The sequence below is a fragment of the Homo sapiens genome, chromosome 14 (genome assembly GCF_000001405.40).
Source record: "Homo sapiens chromosome 14, GRCh38.p14 Primary Assembly".
In the NCBI taxonomy this organism is placed as follows: Eukaryota; Metazoa; Chordata; class Mammalia; order Primates; family Hominidae; genus Homo; species Homo sapiens.
Genome location: NC_000014.9, coordinates 68382481 through 68394729, shown reverse-complemented (window position 1 = coordinate 68394729; position 12249 = coordinate 68382481). Strand labels below are relative to the sequence as shown.

The 12249-nt window shown below is 41.3% G+C and overlaps 1 protein-coding gene across 12 annotated transcripts in view; it reads right to left on the bottom strand.

Annotated features, from left to right (window-relative positions):
* RAD51B (RAD51 paralog B) overlaps nucleotides 1-12249 on the bottom strand; it is an 863318-nt gene that overhangs the window by 288367 nt on the left and 562702 nt on the right. The gene's annotated exons all lie outside the window — the stretch shown is intronic.

The window sequence follows — 12249 nt, the reverse complement described above, 5'->3', positions numbered from 1 at the left end:
TCCTTCCCCTCAAAACCCACTGGGGGAGCCCTGTCTGGGATAAAGTAGATACCTTGGGAGAGGGAAATGAAGAAAATATTCCAAATGCTTTCAGAGGATTGAGACATTCAAATTAAAATAAACAAGAAATCTGGGTCTCTGAAAAAGGTCAGAGAATCCTGCCAAGGAAACCTTATATTATTTCATGGAGTCTCAAGGCAGAGAAGTGATTTGCTGAGAAAAACAAAAATGAGTTGGTGGCAAACCCAGGAAGGAATCCAAGAGTCAGTTTCAGAGGACTGAGTCAGCCCCCAAAGAGGTTCAGGATTCAAGGTGGGCCTCCCTGGTCATTGCTTGTAGCTGTGCCACACCGGAGGATTGTTACTGGAGACTCACAAGTCAGTACAGGGCAGCACTAATACAGGAACCTCTGGCCAGCTGGCGAGCCCGTCCTTCCTGGAGGGAAAAGCCCAGCAGCCCCTGCAGATGGAGGCCTGAGAACTTGGGAAGGTGGGGAAGGGTTTGCGGAAGCAGCGATTACAAAGAGGCTCATAAACTTTAGGGGACAAAGATGCAATCACTGTAATTTCCTTAACTTAACTTTGATCAGAGAAATTATCATTCCAAATGACATCTTGACCTCTCCCTACACCTGCAGAAGATGTTGATAAAATTCAGCCCTGCTCCTGCCGACTAAAGAGGGAGCCACCTTCTGCCTGGCTCACTGTTCAGTCAGCCCACAGAGACTGCACAAGTTCAAAACAAAATTCCCCCAGTTCTTCTCTTCCTCTGTCTTCTTCCCTGGCCCTAAAAATGAGAAAGACCTGAATTTGGGGCAGACGGTCTTTCAAACAGTGGGGCAGGAGTTTGCAGAAACAGATCCCTCATCAGAACAATCTTTTGGAAACATTCCCACACATTTCAGGGCCCCAAAAACATCACCCTCTGTGAGAGTAAAGGAAGTTAAAAGGGGGCCCTAAATATATTTAGTGACCTGGCAAGTTCACCTTTACCTGGGGCTAGGCCTCCATTGCCATGTCAAAGAGCCACCAAGCCCCACGTTTTGCACTGTAGATGCATCTGAGTCACTGAGAAAATTCCCATGGAGCGGCTCAATAAAAAAAGATCAACCATGATAAAGACCTTGCCTTTTATTTCCCTGCTTCAACCAAATTGCTCCCCAGGCGCTTTAGATTTAGAAGCTCTACTAATCAACCTTATAAACAGCAGCCCAGCCACTGCATAGAAATTACTTTGTATAGCTCCTAAGCGAAATTACCCCAGGGGATAGAAGATGCCCAAGGCTTTAACAATCACACCATAACACAGCCTCAGTATGAGAATAGAGGACAAGCACACTTTGACATCCCAATTGAAACTCCGGGCTGAATCCGACATAGAAGAATGTAATTACCTTTCCTAGTTTGACGGTGCACTGAAGAAACTGGAGAAGCGGAATACCTATTAGGTTCCCACTAATCCTCCTCCTAAATTCAAAGCAGGGCTAGTCCCTGGAATTCATTTCTGAGTATCCTTACTCTCTGCTATTGTTAAATAGCTCAATTGATAAGTCCTTCCAGCTAATAATGTTTTCCACGGAGCTCACCCCCTCCTCTTTCCCAGCAGCTCAAAGCACTTTACAAATATCACCTCATTATTCTTTATAACACTCAAGTGAGCCTGATAGGTGGAAAGGTTAATTATCTTCTCCTTCCCAATAGGGGAAATAGACAAAGGAAGGAGAAGTGACTCGCTGAAGCCAGCAAAGCAGAGGCAGAACTGGAACTAAAACTCAGCCATTCTCCTGACTCCAAACACACACATGTCCTATGTCAGCTTGTAAAGCTGTTCTGCTGACAGGGCAGGATTTTCTCGGCGTGGGCTGTGTTGTAATCAACAGGTCTGCAGAACTGGGGCACCAGGCTGGAGGGGAAAGGGCATGAGTCGAAATGGGGAGGCCCCACTCAAACAGCCTTCACTAGTATGGACCAGTTTCTTTACCTCCGAATCTCAGTGTCCTCCTCGGAAAAGGAGGTGTGTAGATTATAGGATCTTTCAGGTTCCTCCCAGCTCTTAGGTAATTGGTGAAGTGAGAGTTTCAAAAGAGGGTTCTATTATTCACCAGCCCCTTGTGATCACGTGGGCCTCATTCCTCTTGTAAGCCTGAAATAGCATCTTTGTTTATAGAGTGCCCTATGTCATCCACTGTCCACCCAGTGGGGATCAAATCATTCAGTTCAAAGTGGCAAATGGGAGAGAGAGTCCTATAGGGCATCAAGGCCAAGCACTAAAGAGATATGGAGACAGGCAGGGAGCAGGAAGACAGAAGACTAGAAGGGTCATAAAAGGAAGAATTGGCAAACAACATCTTGAGCTGTGCCTTGGTCCTCACCAGGGCACCCCCTACATTCCAAGGAACCTATGACAAGCCTTCCGAAGCATAAGAAGATTCCAAAAAAACAGGGTTTGCTTGGGTTTTTCTAAATACAGGATTTACTTGCCAACCCCAAAACCCAAGTGAACAATGCCCCAATGTACCCTGTAGTGGTGGTTTTCCATTTAAACAGAATTTGATTTTAATGAAATAACATTGATGTACCTTCCTCAAGTTAATTAAAACCAGATTATACAGGTGGTGCCATAGTTTGTAATTTGTATTGCTTGAGCCAGATAAACCTGAGCCTTTAGAAAACCTGTAGTATTTCATCTCTCTGATTTTCTACACTTTCTCTTCCTAAATGATGCTTTGCTACTCCTCATTTGCCATAAAGTGAGTTGGAGAGAGAGGACATTTAGTAAAACCAACATTTATTTGTAGGGGAAGCAGCCCCCGCAACCAGAATAATGACCTTGGAAATGGTTTTGTGTGATGGGGCGATTGCAGTGACTGGATATAAAGGACTGACTGTGCAGCTGCCAGAAAGAAACACATTTTTGTAATATCTGAGTTGTTTCTATTGGCCTGGTCTGCCTTGCATTCACCATGGGAACTGAGTCAACAAGTTTGCTTGCTTTTCTTTCATACAGAGCATTTTTTTTCCACATACAGGGTAAAAGGAATAAAGAATAGATATCCCCTGAAAGTCAAAGGCTTCATGATAAAAAAAAAATGGGTATAATGTTATTATTTATCTCCAAGTCCAGTTGTAAAGGCAACTGGTTGTAAGCTCTATTCCATCTGCTCTCTCTGAGGACCTCAGCCTGCCCTTGTGGAACCTTCTTTCTGGGAAGTTAAAGAATTTCCAGGATTAGCTCAAGTCCTGAGGCTGCCAACTGTGACAATCTACAAAGGTCTCTTAGGTAATAATTCAGATCCCATTTCTGCTCAAGGCCAAGATGGTCCCCAGCGAGTTGGAAATATTCTTGTTTCCTGGACCTAGACCATAAAGTGAGTTGACCTTCCAACATCTTGGAAGGGCAAGCTCAGCATCTCCGCATACTAAAGACTCAACAACTGATATATATGTGACAACACAAATGAAACTGAATTTAAAAAGCAGGGGTTAAGGGTCATCAGAAACAATGTGAAAAAGAAATGCTACATGAAAAGAAAGAAGAAAGGAAAGAAGAAAGAAAGAAAGAAAGAAAGAAAGAAAGAAAGAAAGAAAGAAAGACAAGTCTCATAAATTTAATAATTTATCTCCCACCTAATTCTGGAGGAAAGTATCTTGTGAACATATCCTAAACTGAACTTTTGAATTCTCCAAAAGAAAGCCAAGTTTCCAATGCTGATTAGATAAAATGCCAAATTCCTTTCACCATTGCAATCCCAAGTTGGGAAAGAATGAATCAATACTCTCAGCTTGTCAGGTGTCTTGGAGACAAGTACGTCTTTAGATCCTACCAGGGACTGCATTAGTGTAATGAGGTCTAGAGGACACCCTAATCCTTCCTCTGACGCTCTTTCTCTATGTATCTCAGTAGTGCAGACATCTGAGTAGTTGGTGAAACACTAAAGTAAGCTTCTAACCCAGCTCTGTGACTAACTCATTCTGTGACCTCCTTAAGCCTCAGTTTCCCCAACTGAAAAATGAAGTATGACCACAGGGCCTCTAATATCCCTTCCAACTCTTAAATATCCTACTATTGTATCTCTGCATAGATTTGCTCCATCACTTTTCCCAGCCACAGTATATTCTCTACCTTTCAGTTTCATTCAATGCTGGTCTGTCTCCAAGGGTCCCAGACAGTCAGTGTCTGAGGAGTCTCAGGCTATAAATTCAAACCTTACTGACTAATAGGAATATTTACTTCTCTCATCCCTGCAGTGTAAACTCAATGTCAGAACACTAGTGTTCCAGGTGACCTCACTCAGACAAATCCAATGGCATATGCCAATAGATACAATCCTAAATGGGTAAGGATGAAGACCCCAAATGTGAATATTTAGCAAGTAAACCAAAATGATAACAGGCTAAGCTCACAGTATGAACATCTAGGAATAAATGAATAGCTTTTAAAATAAATGACCAGAACTTCGAGGCGTAGATTTTTCCACTACTCAAGATTTGCAATCTAGTTATGACCTAGCTCAGCAACTATATCCACAACAATGGATTTCCACAATGTTAGTTGAGGAAATTTTAGGAACAGTCAGCAACTCCAAAAAACTTTTCATTCAAGGATTCCAAAATGTTATGTAAGTATTATTTCTTATGATCCCAAACAGATGTGGAGATGAGGCTCTTCGTCTGAGAAATAAGGAACATTTTACAGACTTGTCTCAGATTATAGAGTAAGCCAAGAGTTGAACAGAGACTCTAACAAGCCATTCTCAGAATTATTCAGTTCCTAATCTGTTACATATTCGCAGAATACCTAGGTTTAAAACAGTAGAGAGTGATTTAGAAGATTCATTGAGAAACAAGAGGCCCAACTTGGTCTTGATTACCAGATTTCCCTAGCAATCAGTGATCCATTTGTTCGCTACCTTTATTTGGAAGTCTTTTGGAAGCCTGACTGAGACGGATCAAATCTACATCGGACAAAATGATTAATATAAATACTTATGGGTACTTAAAAAATAATTTTCTACTTTTCTGTATTACCTATTAGTCAATTCAGAATATAGCCTCATTACAACGACCAACATTTAGAACACATTGGTAGATCTGATATATCAAACAACAAAGCAAATCACAAAGTAGTATGCACACTATGGTCTAATTTTGGAAAAAAAGTTAACATAAGTATATACATAGAAAAGTGGCTAGAAGGACAAACACTGACATATTAATGTAGTAGGATTATAATTTTTATGTTTCTTCTTGGGAGCTATCTATATTTTCTATGGGTTAATAAAACAGCATGAATAAACTTCATAAACATAACATTGAGTAAAAGAAAATAGTACCAAAGAGAACCTGCTATATGACTCCATTTATATAAAGTTCAAAAACAGGCAAAACTAATCCATGGTTGTAGAAGTCCAGATAGTAGTTAGTTACCTTTGGGATGAGGGTGGAGGGGTGGGATGGGGTCATGACAGGAAGGAGGAGCTTCCATGGGCGCTATTAATGTTATGTTTCTTAATCTGGGTGCTGGTTACATGTGTGCTCAGTGAGAAAGTTCATGGAGCTATACACTACGATGTACACACTTTTTTGTTTACATATTATACTTCATTTAAAAAGTTACTTAAAAAAACAAAACAACTGAATCCAGAGGCTTCCTCACACATATTGTCAAGAAGTCTAGAAGAAGGACTCTTTTTGGGGACGGGGAGAGCCATATTTCCATAGTTCCATTTCTGAATTCTGAAATATGGCTCCATAAAAATGGGAAGAGAAATACAAATTTACATCATTGAAGGCTCCCGACTTGTGAATAACAACATCGTTTGCCATCTCCCTTGACAACATGGTATTAATGGCGACTCTGAAAATCCAAGTTTTCATTCAACTTAGACTCACTATAAGGGTTAATCATTCAGCCTGGACCAGATGCAGCCACGCTGGGAGGTGCACTTCCCACATCAGGGCTCCATTCATGAAAACAAGCTAAAAGTGGCTGAGGCTGCTAGAAAGGAAGCTCTGTGAGGGCAGGGACTTTGTATCCTCACCGCCTGATGTAAGACCTAGCATAGAATTGGGGTTCAGTAAGTATTTTTGAAGTGAGTGAATATATACATTCACTTTCAAAAAGAAGTGTGTGTGTTCGGCTCATGTAGAAATTATGAGGGACAGTAAAGGAGAGAGAAAAGGATGAAATAGAATGATATATACTTGATTGGTGATATATGTCTCTGATTGTCCCTTCAGTGTTTCTCAACTAAATCAGGCTAACTAAGGCATGGGAAGATTTATGTTGCTGTAGATGTTTAGGAAAACCAACTAGAAGAACAACACTGTCCAGGCTGAGTGTGGTGGCTCATGCCTGTAATCCCAGCACTTTGGGAGGCCAAGGTGGGTAGATCACTTGAGGTCAGGAGTTCGAGATCAACCGGGCCAACACAGCAAAAGAAACCCCGTCTGTAGTAAAAATACAAAAATTAGCTGGGCATGATGATGCACGCCTGCAAGCTCACCTACTCGGGAGGCTGAGGTGGGAGAATCGCTTGAACCAGGGAGGCAGAGGTTGCAGTGAGCTGAGACTGTGCCACTGCACTCCAGCCTGGGTGACAGAGAGAGGCTGCCTCAATTAAAAAAAAAAAAAAATATATATATATATATACACACACACACACACACACACACAATGCAAGTCACATATGTAAGTTAAAATTTTCCAGTAGGCACATGAAAAAAATAGAAATTGGTAAAATAAATGTCAAATATATTTAGTTAGCACAATATATCCAAAACATTATCATTTCAACGTGTAATCAATATGAAAATTAAGACATTTTATGTTTTTTTCCCTCATACTGTCCTTGAAATTCAGTGCATATTTTACACTTAAGGCACCTTTCATGTGCTCAGTAGCTACATGTGGGTGGTGGCTATGTAGCGACAGTGCAGCTATTTAGTGGTTGTAGTGGTAGAGTGTGTGTGTAAGAGATAGTGTGTGTGTAAGAGTGTGAGACCAACTAACTTAATGTTATTTAACACTGGTTCCATCTCTTCTTTGAGTCAGCTGCATCCCAGTCCTTAGTTTCTATAGATATGCCAGTATCCTTGTGATAACTTTACTTTCTGCTTCAGCTACTTTGAGTATGGTTTCTGTCACATGCAATAAAAAGAGACAGACGTACAGAAAACATGCCTGTGAGTTCATCCTGCTATAGAGGCACAATGTCTGTCAAACAGTAAACACTAAATTAGCATTGTTGAATTTATAAATCAAGAAATATAGTTATTAACAAAAACGTGCCATCATCTTATTCTGAAGGTTTTTATGCCACTTGCTGTAGGTTGTGCAATCGATTTGTACATCCCTTTTGAGAACAAATGAACCAAAGTCTAGTTCCTACTTTAAGTATTCCAGGTGCATTTTAGCTGTAAATTCTGAATCAAACAGGAGTTTAATAAGATGCAGGCGCTACAAGTTACCTGGATACTATCCATCTGAGACTGCTGCAATGTAAAAGAAATTAAAATAACAGCCTTTCTATCAGCCAACATACCTCCTGCTTCATCTCAGGGTTTGTCTTTCTGCCAACACACATTTATTTCTGTGTGTCTTCAGTTAAACGTGGAACTGGAATTTGAGAGGAAACGGGTCAGTAGTTTAACATTGCAGAGGGAAAAGCAACAACCATCCCTGATACAAAAACCCAAATCACTTGGTGACTTAAATGCATAAATAAGTTTGGTATTTCAGTATTGTTGTTCATTCCACTCTATTAGGTCCAGACTCACAAAGGAGAGGTGATATCAATGAATGTGCAGTTTCATTTCAATTCCAATTTTTCTATGTCACAAACCAGTCTTCGGGCATCCTAAACTTCATCTGTTTCTGGGATAGCTTTGCAGGTGGTATACCATCAAGTTGGAAAGGAAGGACTAAATGAGAGGTAGAAACAATCACCTTCCCTCTGCTTGCTGGGAAACCCCTCCTGGGACTGGGAAGAAAGAGGTACTGAATGCCATTAGGAGGAGTTCTTGCTTGGCTTTCAGAACCTCCAGTGCTAAAAGGCACGTGCAATCCAGTGGGATTAGAGGACAGAGGAAGGGCCACTCAGGTACTAGGCACTATCAGGGCAGAGACAGTCAGAAAGAACCAGAGAACAAACTCTATCATCCCCTGCTGCTAAAATTCTTGGATGAGCCCTGCATGTGCTAAATGTGGGAGGGCATATGCAGAATTTGCTGTAACTCCTGCTATCCAGAGAGGTGTAAGATATTCAGTGGGTGCCTTACAGCAAAGAGAGGACTGGGGAAAGGTATGTTATTGCTGCATCTGTATCAGTCATTGGCTTGTAAACGCCTTTATATTCTGCATAGATCATTCAACATTTGAGTTGGAAACTTAACCCAATTGTCTATGGAGCTGTTTCTGATTTGCCCTGGTTGAGAGGGGTAAGCAGGTTATATCTGAATTTTTTGATCATCCTAATTATGACTGGGAGAGACACATAGCAGATGGAACCCACAGCACAAAAGCTGGACTCCTGGGTTCTGCCAATAGCTTGTATGTGGCCTGCTTTTATCTCAAAGTGCCCATTTGTAAAAAAGGGGGCAACAATAACCTCCAAAGGATACTGCCCTAAATGTTGATGAGATCACATTTGAGAACCCACAGACTTTGGAAAGAAGACGGGAAATAGAGCAATGAAGTGATTAAGGGACTATCTTAAGTGACCACAAGTGGCTAAGAGCACAGACTCGGGAGCCAATCTCTGGGCTGTCACTTATTACCTTTGCCTTTGAACAAACAATCTCTCAGTGCCTGAGTTTTTCATCTGCAAATCAGAGATGTAATAGTGTCTACTTCCTGGGTACCAATAAATGGGATTGCATATGTTAAATGCCTAGAGTAGTGTCTGACAACATATAAAATTAGCATATCATTTTCATACTTAAAGCTGAAAAAGACATCACAAATTATCTAATCATTCTCAGAAAATACCCTTTCACACATAGAATACTGAAGTCCAGAGAGGTCAAAATAAATTGATAGGAACAATTTGCGTATCCCAGTCAGCTCACCAGCAGAGACAATGATGATTATGAGCAACTACTCTCAGAAAGTACCGTAAGGGTCATCACTGGATGCTCGTAATGCTAGATTAGGTCCAGAAGTAAGACTGCCCTTCTCGTATAGTCTTGGGGGACAAATTAGGCCTCACTCATTGGTTCTTAGCTGCCATATGGGCTCTTCTTCTGAGAGGCACAGAAAATGTGAGAGCATTTGGCTGGTGGTACTCAGTGCCATCAAACTTCCAAGATGGTCAGCCTGAAATTGCAGTTGCCTTGAAGGAGTGCCGGAAGGGAAGAGAGTGCTAGGGGGTGTAAGGCGAAAATCTATCCCACTGCCTAGAAAAGTCTTTTGGAAGAATGAGCGAAGTCCAAAGGCTTCAATTTCTGTTGCCAGGGGCTGGGGAGAAAACTTCACCTTGATGTGATGTGGCAGCGAGGGTGGCAGGCCTGGCATGCTGTCGATGCAGAGAAGCTGAGGCCCAGCTGACAGGAGGGTCGAGCTGAGCAGTCTCACTGTTCCCCCGAGACCTGGACCAAGCTCAGAGCCAGGGAAGTGGGGATTAACACAATGTGGTGTCCGAACTAATGAGTTAGCAAAACAGAGGCAGATGGCAATTGAGTAACTTAACTCGCCCATCTCTGTTTGCAATGCACTTCCACAAGCTTCTCCTCTGTCGTCGTGCTGTGTAACTCTGTCCAGCCCTTTCCGTTCATCCCAGAAGGTCATGGCCACAGAGTAATCATCCTACATAAAAGGAGCTATAACACCACTTTCTAAACACAACTGTCACCCACAATTGGAGTATACTGGTGGGGAGGTGACAGCTTTGGTGAGATACCTCTGGTTCTGGAGGGAAAGCAGTTATTTTAAATGAATTCTTGTTATTTTACATTTAAGATATAATTCCATATAACGATTGCTTAAAATGTAGACAGCTGGGTATGGAAACGCTAAAAAGGGGCATAACTTGCAACTCGGAAATGAAAACAAGAAAAAGGAACCTTAATTCTGATCCCAAGACAACTTTCCTTCAGTCAGATCTTCAGGATTGTGCAACAGTTTCCTTCACAGGCAGTGGAGAGAGGCGCTGCTACCAGAGGATGTGATAAATGACGTGAGTGTACACTTAGGCCAGACATGCCAGCCTTGCCACTCTGGGAGGCAAACGACCGCTTCACAAATTATCTACTGCCCTGTGCCTCTCATAAGGTTTTTTCCTGGCTTCTTTTCCAATGGTCATTGCTTCCAGGTGGCATATTACTGTGCCAGCTAGCAACAAGGCCAGCCAGGACATAGCCATTGTGGGAAATCCTGCCTTGTACTTTTGAGTGTTGGTTCATTTTTATAATAATCTGTGTAATAATAAAGTTCCAACCACGTAAACAACAAGATTTTCCGGAAGAAAATAAGGTTAAAAAAAATCCCTGATTTATGCACTTTGTTAAAATGTTTACTTTTTCCCTCATTCTTTGTTATTTCATTCTGAGATCATAAGAAAAAAATTAAAATAAACTTCATTGATGCAAATGGATTTTGCTTTGACAAAGTGAAAAGCTGACTTGAGAAGAAACTTCAGTGGTTACTGAATTACTCAGCAGAACAAATAGAACATGTATCTTGACAAAGAAGCCTGTGAGTGGAAAGTGTACTCCCACTTGCACCCACACTCCCAAGCTTCCCTACCCAGTGACCCTCTCAGGGGCAACCTGCTCACTCTGTCTCTCTAGAATAGGTCCTTGGGATTGACACATAGTAGTACAGTAAAACAGGCTGTAATCAAAAGGAGAAAATAACCAGTGTTGATCAGGTGTAAGACTCCACAGCTTACTAGCTGGCAGCATCAGCTGTGGACCAAATGATGCCTGGGGAAATATTTGTATTCCACCCTGATTCTAACTCTGATAACGCAGGGCAGCAGAATGCACAGGTGAAGAAGACCCTGAACACTGAGGGCTGAGAGCAACACTTGGAGAAAACCACAGATGGCATTCTTGCAAGTAGAAATTCATTGTGTTTTTTTTTTTTCATTCACTGCTATTGGGAATAAACATACTTTTCAACCCTAAGGGTCAGCTGCTTTTCATGGGAAGTAACTAGTCACAACCTCCTCGTTTAAAGAAGAGGATATCCTGAAGGAGTGAAACTGGTAAGTGACCAGCATCTACTTCAGTGACGTTTCCTCCAGTGTGTACATCTGTGTTATATACCACATGGCTTCTCAACCTCAGCACCCTGTCACTTTGGGCTGGATAAGTCTTGGTTGGAGGGACCATCCTGTTTATTGTAGGATGCTTAGCATTGTCCCTGGGTAGACACCAGTAGCATCCCTCCACATCTGTGACATTGTCAAAAGTCCTCTGGGGGCAAAGTACCCTGGGTTGAGAACAACTGGTACACTGGTACACATGGTAAATTCTGGAAAAGCTTCAGTGAGGGATGTTAGAGTCTTCTCTTTGATACTTTTAAAAGTTATATAAATAGCTTATATATTTTCATGTTGTTTAAAGAGAATTCAACTCACACATATCCAAAGAGATTAAAAATACTGAAAGGAAATTTGTGCCAAATTACAAGAGTCCTTGGTTCCTTCTAATGGGTAGAAATTTATGAGCAAATTAAAAATTAATTGATTTTTCCAGTTGTGGTTTCTTATGTAGAAAGAGGAATCAAAATAAGCTAAATAAATACAATGAACATAAATAAGGCCATGTGTTATCAGGAAGAACAGTGGTTTGAGTCTAAAGGGGGCTGCACCCAGGCCAAAAAAAAGCCATGTAATACTATGCTAGTGATTTACCAAAGAGGTTTTTTTCACTTGTCGCTAAGAGTCCTTTCAGCTTTAACCATGCCCACCTTCATATCCCAGGAAACTATCAACATACCACCAGTAGGATATGTTTTTTTAAGTGACTTTTAGAGTAGCCAGGATACATTGTGCTGGTCCAATCAGTGAAATGGTTGGTCTGAGTTAAAGCCAGATAAGGGAATACAACCTCAAAGTCTTAACTTTGTTAGCATTGGTGAGCAAATCAACTCCAATGACTAGGATTTTTAAGAGTATTAAGTTCTAAGTCTTTGTGGGGAGGTTCTGTCTTTTCACCTAGACTTAGCAGAGAGCCTGACATAGTGTCATCTGTAATAACTGTTATTTGAATGAATGAACAAATAAATAATTTGTATTTGCAGTAG